General features: G+C 45.1%; 10 annotated features.

Annotated features, from left to right (window-relative positions):
* Positions 7,293-7,437: an enhancer, noted in NCBI's record as "145 bp 7:22123422 sequence used in MPRA reporter constructs". NCBI's record gives its function as "activates a minimal TATA-containing promoter with rs3757468 allelic activity by MPRAs in UACC903 melanoma cells {active_cell/tissue: UACC903}" and the evidence as "EXISTENCE:reporter gene assay evidence [ECO:0000049][PMID:36423637]".
* Position 7,365: a transcriptional cis regulatory region, noted in NCBI's record as "rs3757468 or 7:22123422 MPRA-significant variant associated with a GWAS melanoma risk locus at 7p15.3". NCBI's record gives its function as "allelic transcriptional activity by MPRAs in UACC903 melanoma cells {active_cell/tissue: UACC903}" and the evidence as "EXISTENCE:reporter gene assay evidence [ECO:0000049][PMID:36423637]".
* Positions 9,294-9,438: an enhancer, noted in NCBI's record as "145 bp 7:22121421 sequence used in MPRA reporter constructs". NCBI's record gives its function as "activates a minimal TATA-containing promoter with rs7801261 allelic activity by MPRAs in C283T melanocytes {active_cell/tissue: C283T}" and the evidence as "EXISTENCE:reporter gene assay evidence [ECO:0000049][PMID:36423637]".
* Position 9,366: a transcriptional cis regulatory region, noted in NCBI's record as "rs7801261 or 7:22121421 MPRA-significant variant associated with a GWAS melanoma risk locus at 7p15.3". NCBI's record gives its function as "allelic transcriptional activity by MPRAs in C283T melanocytes {active_cell/tissue: C283T}" and the evidence as "EXISTENCE:reporter gene assay evidence [ECO:0000049][PMID:36423637]".
* Positions 10,798-10,942: an enhancer, noted in NCBI's record as "145 bp 7:22119917 sequence used in MPRA reporter constructs". NCBI's record gives its function as "activates a minimal TATA-containing promoter with rs7808898 allelic activity by MPRAs in C283T melanocytes {active_cell/tissue: C283T}" and the evidence as "EXISTENCE:reporter gene assay evidence [ECO:0000049][PMID:36423637]".
* Position 10,870: a transcriptional cis regulatory region, noted in NCBI's record as "rs7808898 or 7:22119917 MPRA-significant variant associated with a GWAS melanoma risk locus at 7p15.3". NCBI's record gives its function as "allelic transcriptional activity by MPRAs in C283T melanocytes {active_cell/tissue: C283T}" and the evidence as "EXISTENCE:reporter gene assay evidence [ECO:0000049][PMID:36423637]".
* Positions 11,959-12,103: an enhancer, noted in NCBI's record as "145 bp 7:22118756 sequence used in MPRA reporter constructs". NCBI's record gives its function as "activates a minimal TATA-containing promoter with rs10228939 allelic activity by MPRAs in C283T melanocytes and UACC903 melanoma cells {active_cell/tissue: C283T | UACC903}" and the evidence as "EXISTENCE:reporter gene assay evidence [ECO:0000049][PMID:36423637]".
* Position 12,031: a transcriptional cis regulatory region, noted in NCBI's record as "rs10228939 or 7:22118756 MPRA-significant variant associated with a GWAS melanoma risk locus at 7p15.3". NCBI's record gives its function as "allelic transcriptional activity by MPRAs in C283T melanocytes and UACC903 melanoma cells {active_cell/tissue: C283T | UACC903}" and the evidence as "EXISTENCE:reporter gene assay evidence [ECO:0000049][PMID:36423637]".
* Positions 12,982-13,126: an enhancer, noted in NCBI's record as "145 bp 7:22117733 sequence used in MPRA reporter constructs". NCBI's record gives its function as "activates a minimal TATA-containing promoter with rs10240075 allelic activity by MPRAs in C283T melanocytes {active_cell/tissue: C283T}" and the evidence as "EXISTENCE:reporter gene assay evidence [ECO:0000049][PMID:36423637]".
* Position 13,054: a transcriptional cis regulatory region, noted in NCBI's record as "rs10240075 or 7:22117733 MPRA-significant variant associated with a GWAS melanoma risk locus at 7p15.3". NCBI's record gives its function as "allelic transcriptional activity by MPRAs in C283T melanocytes {active_cell/tissue: C283T}" and the evidence as "EXISTENCE:reporter gene assay evidence [ECO:0000049][PMID:36423637]".

The following is a 15,386-nucleotide window of genomic DNA, read 5'->3' as shown; positions in this document are numbered from 1 at the left end:
GTTTTGACGGGGCGCCGATTGGTGCATTTACAATCCCTGAGCTAGACACAGAGTGCTGACTGGTGCATTTACAATCCTTTAGCCAGACATAAAAGTTCTCCAAGTCCCCACTAGATTAGCTAGACACAGAGCACTGATTGGTGCATTTACAAACCTTGAGCTAGACACAGGGTGCTGATTGGTGCATTTACAAACCTTGAGCTAGACACAGAGTGCTGATTGGTGCATTTACAATCCTCCAGCTAGACATAAAATTCTCCAAGTCCTCACGCGACTGAGGAGCCCAGCTGGCTTCACCTAGTGGATCCTGCGCCAGGGCCACGGGCGGAGCTGCCCACCGGTCCCACGCCACTTGCCCGCACTCCTCAGCCCTTGGGTGGTCGATGGGACTGGGCACCGCGGAGCACGGGGTGGCGCCTGTTGGGGAGGCTCAGGCCGCACGGGAGCCCACAGGGGGTGGGGGTGGAGAGGGGGCGCTTAGGCATGGTGGGCTGCAGGTCCCGAGCCCTGCCCCGCAGGGAGGCAGCTGAGGCCTGCGGAGAATTCGAGCATGGTGCGGGCGGGCCAGCAGTGCTGGGGACCCGGCACACCCTCCTTAGCTGCTGGCCCAGGTGCTAATCCCCTTCCCCTCACTGCCTGGGGCCAGTGGCACCGGCTGGCTGCTCTGAGTTCGGGGCCCACTGAGCCCGCAACGGATCCCGGAGAAGCCGGCAGGATCCCTGGGGAGAGTTTTCTTTGTGAAGGGCAGGGCGCCCTGGAATGGGTTTGCTGAGCCCGCACCCACCCAGAACTCGCGCTAGCCTGCGAGCAGCCCTGGTTCCTGCCCACGCCTCTCCCTCCACACCTCCCCACAAGCAGAGGGAGCTGGCTTCGGCCTCCGCCAGCCCAGAGAGGGGTTCCCACAGTGCAGCAGCGGGCTGAAGGGCTCCTCAAGCGTGGCCAGAGTGGACGCCGAGGCCGAGGAGGTGCTGAGAGCGAGCGAGGCCTGCTAGCACGTTGTCACCTCTCAAAGGGAACAAATTAATAGTGTTTACTAAACAGACCCGGACATAGGAGTGTCTAGACACCCTGATATCTGGACAATAAAGGCAGTCCTAATTTTGCTTTAAAGATAATAATATTGATTCTTGCAAAAAATAGTAATTAAGAAAATTAATCCTTTATCACAACCTCTTGTATAGCAGAGCACATCTCCCCTTATATACGGGTATTGTACCTAGGGTCGACATGTTCCTTCTAACTTTCAGGAATGCCCTACTCTGTCTATGGAGTAGCTGTACTTTCACCACTTTACTTTCTTAATGAACTTGCTTTTACTTTGCACTGTGGACTCGCCCTGAATTCTTTCTTGTGTGAAATCCAAGAACCCTCTCTTGGGGTCTGGATCGGGACCCCCGTCCTGTAACAATGTCATATCAATGAGAAGCTAGGATTTTAATTGTAATAAAATATTAGTGCTGTGCAAAAATCAATGGGAACAACAAACGAAGTGCCAGTGTCCTATCTGATTCCAAAATCTGAGAAGCTATGCAGGGACCAATAGGGGCCAAGTTGTCAAGATATCAATACCTATTAAATAGCTTGAATCTGGCAACATAATACATAATGGTTACGTTTTCCTTTTGGCCTAGGAATGCTGACACACTAAGAGCACCATGAACTTAGAAAGTCTGGAAACCTCTGGTTTAACGTTTAGCTAATTACTTCCCTCTCACTTGATTTTTGAATGGATTAAATGAGATAAGGTGTGGTCATTTCCTGTCCATTGAATGTTAGTTCACTTCATATAGCCGTTATTCAATCTATTTTTTCTGTTGCACTTCATCTGCATTCTTTAAAGACTTGAACGGAACCATCATACCAAGGTCAAGGAACCCTGCAAGATACAATCACAGCACCATAATCACTTTCCTTACCTGTGCATCCCTCCCTGCTGTTTACAAACCACTTCACATACACAAGCTCCTTGGATTTTCACAAGCTCATGAGGAAAGCCAAGAAAGGTATTATTAAATTCATTTTAAATAAGAAAACTCCAAACACTGAATTGCAGAGAGGTTGCATAATTGCACAAGGTCACACAGTAGAGTCTTTTTGCTCCTCTAGGACTAATGGCTTTTATTTCCTTTACTGCCTGGGGAGAAAGGAAGATATTTGAGAACTGGGTGGGGCAGGAAATTTTAATCAAAACTGTGCTGCTGGTTGGAGGGCTAGCTTCCTGCTGGGGCCCACAGCCTCACACTTTAGAAACTGAGGTCAGCTGTCCTGAGAGTCACACTTGTGATGCCATGGTATGATGGGAGCCCAGTTGACTTCCCCAGATTGCCATGAAATTGCACAGGTCCTACCTAGGGCAGCAGCAGAAGTCAGCCCTGTCTCCTGGGATGAGTTCACTTGGCACTGAGCAGCTGCTGCAGCAAAACAATCCCACAGATGACCTCTACCTCCTCCATAAATTGAAAATAGTACAGTCTTTAAAATGGAAAAGAGCTTCTGACACTGTGTAAAAGAGCTTCTGACACTGTGATCCCACTCTCCTGATCAACCTGGTTTGCCACCCACCTTGGGAAACTCTACAAAATAGGCTTTCTGTCCCCTTACTGCCTGCATGGTGTATGCTGGAGTTGGGAAGAAAGAAGTGGATTCCTGATTGTGCAGGTAGTGTGCACAGAAGGACGTTTTGGGACAATCCAACCCCTTGTCTCTCTCTGGAGGACGAGTAGAGGTGAAGGAAGTTACTTGCTTGCAGGGGTTGGGTTTCTGTTCCAAGGTGGCACTGTCTAACTGGCAGCCAGATGACTACGCTGTGGGGGTTGAGGGAAGAGAACTTTCTATTCTGCTTCATTTATTTCCATTTCAGGTAATTTAATGAACCTTAAACACACACATTCATGAAGGCAGTTTTGAAGGTCTGAGGAGATCAGGAGCCTGATAATGGATTCTGGTCCCTGTGACAGGGATGCTTATGACCAGGAAGGACTGAGAGAATTCATGGAAGGCAACTGAGGCCTCTGCAGAGGGCTTTAGAGAGAAGGAAAGCTACATCAGAGCTGAACACACCACTGCCTCTGGATCCCTCATTTGGTTCTTGTCCAGATCAGGGCGACCTGAAACGATGACCATCTGTCCACTGTTTCTTAGCCTCCAGCCGGGGCCAAGCAGGCCTGGCGTGCACCAACGCTACTGCTCGGCCTCTCTGAGTCTACTGGGTGCAATGTCCTGCTTTGGTCCTTTTCCTACTTCTCAGATTTCATCCCTACTTAAAGAGGCAGTGTACAGGATCACTGTTGTTGTTGTTTTTTTTAAATAAAAATCTAATACTTACTGAGAAATCTCTAGTAGATTGCTTACATTGTGCTATGTGCTTTTAGATATAGTATCTCACACAATCCTCCCAAATGCCCCCATATTAGTTTGCTACAACTGCCAAACCCAGCAACCTGGATGGCGTAAACAACAGAAATTTGTTGTCCCCCAGTTCTGGCAACTAGAAGTTTGAAATCAAGGTGAGAGCAGAGCTGTGCCCCCTCTGAAAACACTAGGAAACAATTGGTTCCAGATCTCTCTCCTAGTTTCTGGTAGTTCCCTGGCTTCTTGAAGCACAGCTCCAGTCTTCACATGGTATTATTTCAGTGTGCATGTCTGTCTCCACGTTTCCCTTTATTATAAAGACACTAGTCACATTGGACAGGACCTACCCTATTCCAGTATGACCTCATTTTAACTAATAACGTCTGCAATAACCCTATCTACAAAAAAGGTCACATTTTAAGGTACTAAGAATTAGGACCTCAATATGTGAATTTTGTTCAACCAAATAACAACCCCTCCAACTAACAAGTAAAGAAATTGAAGCATAGGGAAGTCAAATAACCTGCACAGAGTCACAAGGCTAGCAATATGGTTTGCCTGTCTCCCCATCCAAATCTTATCTTGAATTGTAGTTCCCATAATCCCCTCATGTCAAGGGAGGGGCCCAGTGGGAGGTAATTGAATCATGGTGGAGGTTCTCCCCATGCTATTTTCATGATAGTGAGTGAGTTCTCATGAGATCTGATGGGTTTATAGGGGGCCTTTCCCTCCTTCACTCTGCATTTCTTCTTCCTGCTGCTAACTGAAGGATGCCTTTGCTTCCCCTTCCGTCATGATTGTAAGTTTCCTGAGGCCTCCCCAGCACTGCAGAACCATGAATCTATTAAACCTTTTTCCTTTATAAATTACACAGTCTTACGTATGTCCTTATAGCAGCATGACAGCAGACTAATACAGTAAATTGGTACCACAGAGAGTGGGGTGCTCCTATAAGGATACCCAAAAATGTGGAAGCAACTTTGGAACTAGGTAACAGGAAGAGGTTGAAACAGTTTGGAGGGATCAGAAGAAGACAGGAAAATGTGGGGAAATTTGGAACTTCCTAGAGACCTGTTGAATGACTTTGACCAAAATGCTGATAGTGATATAGACAATAAAGTCCAGGCTGAGGTGGTCTCAGATGAAAATGAGGAACTTGTTGGGAGCTGGAATAAGGGTGATTCTTGCTATGTTTTAGCAAAGTGACTGGCAGCATTTTGCTCCTGCCCTAGAGATCTGTGGAACTTCAAACTTGAGAGAGGTGATTTAGGGTATCTGGTGGAAGAAATTTCTAAGCAGCAAAGCATTCAAGAGGAAGCAGAGCATAGAAGTTTGGAAAGTTTGCAGCCTAAACATGGAATAGAAGAGAAAAACCCATTTTCTGGGGAGAAATTCAAGCCTGCTGCTGAAATTTGCATAAGTAATGAGGAGCCAAATTTTAATCTCCAAAACAATGGGGAAAGGTCTCCACGGTATGTCAAAAACCTTCATGGCAGTCCCTCCCATCACAGGTCCAGAGGCCTAGGAGGGAAAAATCATTTCCTGGGCTGGGTCCAGGGACCCCTGCTGTGTACAACCTAGGGACTTTGTGCCTTACATCCCAGCCGCTTCAGCTGTGGCTAAAAGGGGCCAGAGTACAGCTCAGGCTGTGGCTTCAGAGGGTGCAAGCCCCAAGCCTTGGCACCTTCCATGTGGTGTTGAGCCTGCAGGTACACAGACGTCAAGAATTGAGGTTTGGGAACCTCTGCCTAGATTTCAGAGGATGTATGGAAATGCCAGGATGTTCAGGCAGAAGTTTGCTGCAGTGGTGGAGCACTCATGGAGAACCTCTGCTAGGGCAGTGAGGAAGGGAAATGTGGGGTCAGAGCCTCCACACAGAGTCCTTACTAAGGCACTGTCTAGTGGAGCTGTGAGAAGACAGCCACCATCATCCAGACTCCAGAATGGTAGATCCACCAACAGCTTGCACCATGTACCTGGAAAAGCCACAGATACTCAGCACCAGTCTGTGAAAACAGCCAGGAAGAGGGGGCAATACCCTGCAAAACCACACAGGTGGAGCTGCCCAAGGCCGTGGGAACCCACCTCTTGCATCAGTGTGACCTGGATGTGAGACATGGAGTCAAAGGAGATCATTTTGGAACTTTAAGGTTTAATGACTGCCCTATTGGATTTCAGATTTGCATGGTGTCTCTGGCCCCTTTGTTTTGGCCAATTTCTCTCATTTGGAATGGGTATAATTACCCAGTGCCTGTACTCCCATTGTATCTAGGAAGTAACTAACTTGCTTTTGATTTTACAGGCTCATAGGAGGAAGAAACTTACCTTGTCTCAGATGAGACTTTGAACTTGGACTTTTGGATTAATTATGGAAAGAGCTAAGACTTTGGGGCACTGTTGGAAAGGCATGATTGTGTTTTAAAATGTGAGGACATGTGATTTGGGAGGGGCCAGGGGTGGAATGATATGGTTTGGCTTTGTCCCCACTCAAATCTCATCTTGAATTGTAGTTCCCGTAATCCCCATGTGTTGCAGGAGGGATGCAGAGAGAGGTAATCGAATCATCGGGGTGGTTTTTCCCATGCTGTTCTTGTGATAGTAAGTGAGTTCTCATGAGATCTGGTGGTTTTATGAGGACCATCGCTTATAAGGGTTTTCCCCCTTTGTTCAGCACTTCTCTTTCATGCCACATGTGAAGGATGTGTTTGCTTCCCCATCCACCTTGATTGTAAGCTTCATGAGGCCTCCCCAGCCCTGCAGAACCATGAGACAATTAAAACTCTTTCTTTTATAAATTAGTCAGTCTTGGGTATGTCCTTATAGCAGTGCAGGAACAGACTAATACAGCTAGTGAGTGACCAGGCTGGAATTTGAACCCAGGGCTGTATGATTCCAGAGGCCTGTTACTGGTTTTCAAATTTTGGCACCCAAGGTCACCTGCAGGGCTTATTAAACACAGATTGCTGTTAAAACGCAGATGCTGGGTGGGGCCAGAGCATCTGCCTTTCTAGCAAGTTCCAGGTCCTGCTGCTGGTACAACACCAGACTTTGAAAGCAGCTTTCCAAGCAGCTCTTGGACTTTCATGGCCATAAAAATCACCTGGGAAGTTTTGTTTGTTCATTTGAGCAGATCTTCTGGCCCATTCCAGAAGATTTGGATTTGGTAAATCCAAACAGGGCCCAGGAATCTGCATTGTAAACAAGCAAACCCAGTGATTCTCAGAGGATCAGTGGCCACCCTTTGAGAAAGAATGTATTTCCTGCTTCCCTGAAGACCGATGAGGTCCTCAGCTTTGATGGCACATTGGAACCACCCGGGAAAATTTCAGAAATTTGAAGCTGAACTGATGTCTGGGATTAACCCCGAAAGATTCTAATTTCAGGTAGTGTGGGGAGGGGGTGACCTGAGCCACTGGGTTTAAAGAAAATCTCATCAGGGTGACTCTAACATGTAGACAAATTTGAGAACCACCAGCACTGCTCAAAGTAATAAGCTACCAGAGGCTGGTGACCATATGCAAGATTCCGCAGCACTTAGGTAGCAGAGCCTGGGGGCCCCAGGAGTTCTAGTTCTTCCCCAGCACTCGATCAGAAAGGGTCCCCGTCATGACTAAGACCTTTTTCCAGCCCCAAAACCTGTACATTTTCCCAGACAACTCATCAAAATTAGCATACACTCATTCACTTATTCATTTATTCATGGACAAAATGGCCATGTGGAGGCCGGATGAACTGTGAGGGCACTGGGCCAGGTTGCCTGAATCTGACCCCAGCTTCGGCACTTGCTGGGAATGTGACACCGTGCACGTTCATTATGGGGTGCCTGGCTCTCCTTATTGGAAAACCTTACCTCCTAGGCTTCTTGTGAGGAATAAGTGAGTCACTGAAGATGGAGATCTTATAACATAGTAAGCTCTAAATTAGTGTGTTTTATAATCAATCATCGAAGAAATCTCTATCCAGCAGCTACCATGTGTCAGGCACGGGGTACAACGGAATAAAACACAAGGTCCCTTATCTAATTGAGCTGACAATCAGGAGAAGAAAGTGAAAATATATCATGTGAGGGTAATAAGTTACTGCGTTTCTCTCTCTGAACCCCTCAAATGCCCAGGGGCACGATAAGTGAGGGCAGCTGGACATCCTGTCCTGTGGGGTATCGCGGATGAGGGGTGTCGGTGAGGGAAGTGTGGCGGGTCAGGACGCCCGTTCACCAGTTCGCTGCTTTACTACCCGCCGCCTTCAAGCTGTCGGGTTAAACCTTTCCAAGAAGGCTCCCTTGAGCTCTCTCTCTCTCTTCCTCTTCCCCTTTGCTCCTTCCTTCTCTCCCTCCCGCAACTGCTCCCGGGGATATGTCCCACTGTCGCTAGTGTTTCAGTTTCTCCTGCAGGATTTCCGTATGGGGGTGGGGTGGGCTGGGCTGCAGCGGGGCGGGGCGTAGGAGCACACATCATGGGGCTGCAGCGGTGGCAGGAGCTCCGTCCGCAGGGCCTGTCTGACGGAGAATGGAGCGGATTGAAGGTCGCATCTTTTCTCTTCGAACTCTGAAGGCATCTCCCAGCCGGCACTGGGGGCGCTGGCCCCTTGATTTCCTAAAAGACAACCAGTCCCCCTGCGAGACCTCGCTGGCCATTCCCGCAGCCTCCCCTCTGGCAGCGCACGGTGGTCACGGGCGGGGGGTGGGGGCCGGAGAATGGCCCCAGGCCACTCCCCCCGCCGCGCTGGGTTGCTGTGCAGCGCGGTTCCGCGGGGCCTCGGCAGGTGTCGCTGTGGTCTGGGGAGTGAGCGTCTGCGAGTCCCCGGGAGGCTGGGCGCCGCCTGACGCGGTGTTGGGGGACCGGAGTGCTGAAGAGCAAACCGAGCCTTAGGCAACCGCAGTTCCCAGACAGAGACTGTTCCTGTTGCGGTGGAGGCAGGGGGCCTTTTGGTGAAGCAGGGAGAAACCTGGATTTGACTCTTCCCGGTCCGGTGGGATCCCAGGTGCCGCTGCTCCCTCGACCTACTTGGAGCTGGCAGGTGGATGGTTCTCGAAAGGCAGTGTGATCCCAGGGATGCAGATCCTGCGTCTCCACCCTGGAGTTTCTGATTAGGAACTAGTGGGTCGAGGCCCAGGAATTTGCAGCTTTAGCGCCTCTTCTGTCACAACGGGTGCAGTTCTTGCTTAGAAAAACACTAAATCAGAAAATCAATCAGATTAAGTCAATTTGCTGGAGGTTTTCCCAAACATCTGTGTTCTAGTTCAAAATATGTTTCATCGGGTAATTAGGAAATTACATTCGTAATTTTACCTCTGAGAAGGGCAGAAAGTGGCCATTCTCACTCCTGATCCTATAGCTCACTCCCCCTCATCTCAGCAGCGTCTGCTGTCCACTCATTCAGGCCTCCACTCAAATGTCATTTCCGGATAATCTTTTCTGATCACACTACCCAAGAAAAGCGCTCCCTCTCCACAATTCCCACCATCTTATATTATTGTTATGTATAACACTCATCAATATCTAAAAATGTTGTCACCCATTGTCCTTTTAAGTTCTTCCCTCTAATAAGGACTTTTTGGTCACATTTAGGTTTTCTAAAAAATGAAAATAATCACCTCTAATAACGAAACAATGACCGTGTTGCAATTGAAAGGCAAGTCCTATAGTCAAAATTTCAGTGTTGACTTTAAATTGAGGCACATCTTCCTCGCCTTGATCTTGAGTCTTGGGGGTGGGGTTTAGACAGGGAAGGGGTCCCGGTAGCTTCTCCTCTCCTTCTGTCCTTGGCCCTGTCCTCCTCCTTTCCCTTCTTGCTTTCCCAGGTTTCTGACTTTTCCAGAAGGCAGCCCAGGGTGGGAGCACTGGTGACAAAGCTGGAAAGTTCTGCCCTTCAGTGGTGACCCCACACTAGCACTTGCTGGTTGTGGTTACCTGCAAGAACTCCGATAACAAAAAAGTATTATGGTGCTGCAAAAGTAATTGCTGTTTTGGCCTTTAAAAGTAATGGGCAAATCGCAAATACTTTTGCATCAACGTAATACTAAAGATCTGCCACATGCAGCAAGTGCCAGTGTTGGGTCACGGGAGTACATACTCTTCCCTGTGTAGTCCTTTCACGGGGAGTGTGAACTCTCAGGGGGAAAGGCTTGGGGAACTGAGTCCTTCCTTACCTCCCTCAGCCCCTAGAAATGTAGTCATCCTCCAGCCAAGACCACTCCAGTTACTCCTGGCTATCTTCCCAGACAGGACCCAAGGTGACCCTACAAAAATTCTTCCTCTCCTGTGTTCCCTCCCCACTCTGGTTCACAGAAAATATTCATGCAATCTTGTCCAGGCTGGGTTTGCAGACCAGCCCCCGAGTCGCCCATCCCTTGGATTTATCACTGTGGGCCAGTGTGTTGTGTCCCCTAAGCACAGGACATCCAGAGTAAGCCCTTAGAGTAATCTTACTGAAGCTTCTTTAAGTGTCTGGGCTTTCCCTGGTGGGAGGTAGAGGAGGTAGGAGCCACAGCACAGTTGCAGCTTCTTCTGAAGAAATCTGCCTACTCTCAACCTCAGAACCATTTTATACTGTGGATACGTATATTAGGCAGTAATCAGGATAAATTATGTTTTAATATGTTGTTTTTTTAAAAAAAATCCATATTAATGCAAAAAAATTATAAGCAAAATATCAAAATTATAAATAAAGACAATATCAGTACTCCGGGTTTTAGAGGCACACAAGCAAGTGGGCTTTCTTTCCTCTCCTTTTTCCACGACTCCTTCCCACTTGGGATGTATTTTCTACTGTCTTGGAGCCTTTGCCAAAACTTCCATATAAAGACCATGAGGGCAGGGACTTTGCCGTGAAAATTGCTAAATCTTCAGTGTTGGCATTTGGCAAATATCTGGGAATGAATATATGAGTTATGGTTTCTGATTCTTGGATGTTCTTTTATTAGGGAATTTACAGTGGAAAATAGCTGTGGGAAAAAAAGCTTGGCAATGCTACATTTCACTTCTACATGTTGACTTTACCTCTATGACATAGCTTTATTTATTTTTTAACATTTATTTTAGGTCTGGGAGTAATGTGAAGGTTCGTTATATAGGTAAACTGCTGTCACGGGGGTTTGTTGTACAGGTTATCTCATCACCCTGGTATTAAGCCATAGTTATTAATAACTTAAGCCAACAGGTATTTTTTTCTGCTCCTTTTCCTCCTCCCACCCTCTTCCCTCAAGTAGACCCCAGTGTCTGTTATTGCCTTGAGTTCGTGAGTTCTCATCCTTCAGCTCCCGCTTATAAGTGAGAACATGTGGTATTTGGTTTTCTGTTCCTGCATTAGTTTGCTAAGGATGGTAGCCACCAACTCCATCCGTATTCCCGCAAAAGACATGATCTCATTCTTTTTTATGGCTGCATAGTATTCCATGGCATACATGTACCACATTTTCTTTATCCAGTCTGTCATTGTTGGGCGATTAGGTCGATTCCATGTGTTTGCTATTGTGAATGGTGCTGCAGTGAACACTGTGCATGTGTCTTTGTGGTAGGACGATTTATATTCCTCTGGGTATATACCCAGTAATGGGATTTCTGGGTCAAATGGTAGTTCTGCTTTTAGCTCTTCGAGGAATCACCATATTGCTTTCCACAATGGTTGAACTAATTTACACTCCCACCAACAGTGTATAAGTGTTCCCCTTTCTCTGGAACCTCACCAGCTTCTGTTTTTTATTTTTTTATTTTTAATCATAGCCATTCTGACTAGGGTGAGATGCTGTCTTATTGTGGTTTTGATTTGCATTTCTCTAATGCCCAGTAATATTGAGCTTTTCTCATATGCTTTTTGGCTGCGTGTGTGTCTTTTGAAAAGTGCCTGTTCATGTATGACATAGATTTAAAATATAGGTGTGGCTTGCACTTATAAACCCAGCTACTGCAGAGGCTGAGGCAGGAGAATAACTTGAGGCCAGACTTTTGAGACCAGCCTGGACAACATAGCAAGATGCTATCCTAAAAATAAAACAAATTAGCTGGGTGCAGTGGCATGCACCTGTAGTCCCAGCTACTTGGGAGGCTGAGGCAGGATGATGTTTTTTTCCAAATGTGTTTTTGTTGTAGGTAGCATTTGGTTTTCTTTTTCATTTTACAGAATTAAACAGAAGAGTCACAATCATATGCTAGACCACTGCCTATTTTAGGTTTTGTTCCTGGCTACTAATTTTACTTTTTATTATTTAAAATTCAACTTACAGTAGAATTAAAAATATTTGGCAACCAAATCTCTATTTCTGTGCATCAGTACAATAAGGTAAGTATAAAGTCACATAGTGCAATAAAATTTCTCCTCTTAAAAGGTGAAAACTTTCCTTTCTTGGTGTGTTTATTAATCTCTTATAATACAGTTGCATTATAAATCACTCCTTAAAATACTGATATCTTATACACCTTAGCTGTCCTATTACTGTAACTTATTTACATTGAGCTCCATTGCTTCCAGAGTTGGTTCCTTCCAGTGGGTTCTTGGTCTCGCTGACTTAAAAAATGAAGCTGCGGACCTTCGCAGTGAGTGTTACAGCTCTTAAAGCTGATGTGGACCCAAAGAGTGAGCAGCAGCAAGATTTATTGTGAAGAGCGAAAGAACAAAGCTTCCACAGCGTGGAAGGGGACCCCTGCTGGCTGGGGTGGCGAGCTTTTAGTCCCTTATTTGTCCCCGCCCACATCCTGCTTATTGGTCCATTTTTACAGAGAACTGATTGGTGCATTTTACAAACCTCTAGCTAGCTACAAAGTGCTGATTGGTGCGTTTTACAATCCTAGCTACAGAGTGCTGACTGGTGCATTTTATAATCCTCTTGTAAGACAGAAAAGTTCTCCAAGTCCCCATTCGACCCAGAAGTCCAGCTGGCTTCACCTCTCACCATCTTGAAGTATCAGAGTTAAAGATTTTACATTTGGATTAGATTTAGAAATTACTAGAACTTTGAATAATTTGGAACTTATTCATGATTAACTCACAAAAATTAACACCAACATTTTCCCTGTACACCATTCACCCTCATAGACATACAAAATTTAATAGATATTTTCAGTGTTTCCAAATCAGAGGCATCCTGGAAGCAGATTTCTAGATCATAAAATTACAAAACTGGAATTCAAAGGGATCTCAAAGTTCCAGAAGAACTTCTCAAGAATATAAAATTTCTTCTCCTAAGCTCTTTTGGTTTGTCCTACAGTATTTCAGTCTCATAAAGTTCAGAGAATAACCTGGGCAGAGCTATTTTCAGCAGAAAGAAAAGATTGAGTGATTCAATAGCACAATACAGTGCTACTGTTGCCTGGAAGATATTTAAGAATGTTCCCCATGAAGCCTTGGCTCCAGGCATAGAGATATGGATGTCTTCAGCTCAAATTCCAAGCAAGAGGTTATTCTTTCAGTCAGTATGTTTTTGGGGCTCTTCTTCCTACTTTCTAGGTGAAAACATGCAAAGAGTACAGTTTCTGAAGGGAGGAAACACAGTCATCTGAGCAAAGGGGTGTGCATCTCCCTCCTTCCCACCACGGCCCCATGTTGTTGTCGTGGGTCACTGGGTAAGGATTCATCATGAGTTAGCCCGTGTGTCTGAACCTGTGGAAGTGTTTTCACTGGTTTCTTAGTGTGACTACACCAGAGACACATCAGAACCCATTACAAAAGTCATGTCAAATAAAAATGAACTCCAAAGCTGAGGCTGATATACCTTTCCACCCACTGAACAACAAAAAAGAACTCATTTCTCCTACCACCTGGTTCAATGAACTTGACAAAGAAAGAATGATGTTTTGGGGTGAGATGGAAGAGAAGAGAAGTTGCTGTTTTTTTTGTTGTTGTTGTTGTTTGTTTTGTTTTGAAGGAAGTTGTTTGCCAAGGATCAGATGGTGGTTATCGCAACATTGTGGGTGATGTTGGGGAAGGGCTTCCAAAGAGGCTCAGAGCAAAGCTGGAATTGCCGGGAGTCTGAACCATGGCTGATTCCCAGCTGCTCAGGTCTGCCTCATCAATGCCCTGGTCTAACAAGCCACCCTCTCCCCCACCGCCATCTCACGTACCTCTCATAGTCCATGGGCCTGAATTATTACTCAATAGCCACATCTGTACAAACAGCTACTGTATAAAAGTTATGATTTTTGCCTACACAAATATGTGGACTCAACAAAATTTAGTTCTCTCTACAAAATAAGATTTCTGCCATTCTTAAAGCTTTTTTCTGTTTCTAAAAAAAAAACCCCAAGTTAAATGTTTTCACAGCAGAAGTAGATTTATACTGAAGCAAATAAATAATAAAGCTTAAGGTTCAGAGGTATGCATTTGTACAGCTTCTTCCAAGAACCGTTTTTGTAAAATTTGAAAAAATAAGATATTTTAACTGTAGTCAGTTAAGACCACTGCCTTTTCTGCTTTAACTTTCCCTTTGAATGACTTCTTATGTCTGGTGGCATTGGAGTAGCCAAAGTCATTTTTGGGATCCAGTTAAGGGAAAGTTGAATGACAGATACATTTTGTTTGGGTTTTATGAGATTGTATTTATTTGGTTCCCAATTATTTCACGTAGGAAGAACTTAGGCTGAGCTATACTGATTGTCCCAGTGTGGGAAGGGTTTTTAGTCCACATCCACGGTGGTTCTTCTCCTGGGAGTGTGAGCCAAAGGTGCCCCAAACCAAAATATGCAAGCAATGAAGGAGAAATAAGGTTTAAAATGTACGAAGTCAGAAGCTAGTCTGCATGAAATGTGTACAGTCATCAGAAATGTAATATTTAAGTAGCAGATTTAGTGCTCATTGATGCTGGGTCAAAGCAGTCCTATCTTGTCAGGAAATAAAAATTTGAAAAAATTCATAATGAGCCTCCACAACAATGACATCTATGACAAACTGATTCTTAAGTGTTTTCGATTTATAGTATTTAAAATTAGTCACTCCCTAAAATCATAAACTCACGTTAGAAAAAAAACGACTTAATAGAGGTTTTCCTAAATTTGATGTCAATCTGAAAACTTTACATGACATTAAGGATACTGAGCTGCTTTTATTTGGCAGCACAGAAATTATCATATAAAAAGTGTGCGGGCAAAATGTAGACAAAAATAATGTTGGGCTGGTCAATTACTATGTTTGTATATACAGTAATATATTTATTAATATTTTAATAATTATATACAAATTATGTGATGCCATGTTTCTGGATGTTGTGACATTTGTGATATTCGTCAACTTTTAAAAATTTATGACTAGGTGCAGTGGCTCACGCCTGTAATCCCAGTACTTTGGGAGGCTGAGGTGGGTGGATCACTTGAGGTCAGGAGATCGAGACCAGCCTGACCAACGTGGTGAAACCCCATCTGTACTAAAAATACAAAATTAGCCAGACGTGGTGGAGCATGCCTGTAATCCCAGCTACTTGGGAGGCTGAGGCAGGAGAATCGCTTGAATCTGGGAGGCGGAGGTTGCAGTGAGTCAAGATTGCACCATTGCATTCCAACCTGGGCAACAAGAGCGAAACTCTGTCTCAAAAAACAACAAAAAAATTGTCCTTGGTTATGATCTCATTTCTCATTCTAAATCATCACTTTTATAAACCCACCCCCCCACTATGTATTAAGATTCCACTGTCCAGGATGGACAAAAACAGGTAAGCAACTCCTTCTACAGGAACCTTTCTTAGCAAGCCTAAGATAGGAGGCAACACCATCCTACTAGCTAATCAGAATGGGAAAGAAAAAATAGATCAAAAGAAGGAGAAACTAGAGAGAAGGAAGAAGTACAGAAACTCAAGCTAAACAGGTGAAAGAGGGCCAGGAGAAAGATGAAGACCCAATAATAGCTACTAACTAGAGGGAGACATATAAAGCAAAATATTAGGAAAATGTAGAGTAAAACAGACTAAACATTTTAGAGGGTTTTCTAACACTCTGCCAGGCCTTTCCCAGATGGTAACTGAACCATTTGTTTAAATTAAGTCTTGCCTAAATTATAAGGAGCTGAGCTAATTTTCAATGTCAAGAATTCTTGGAATAGAGCCACAGGAGGTG

Source organism: Homo sapiens, chromosome 7 (genome assembly GCF_000001405.40).
Source record: "Homo sapiens chromosome 7, GRCh38.p14 Primary Assembly".
NCBI classification, from domain to species: Eukaryota; Metazoa; Chordata; class Mammalia; order Primates; family Hominidae; genus Homo; species Homo sapiens.
Note: the sequence above shows the minus strand (reverse complement) of the source record. Positions and strands in the feature narration are given on the sequence as shown.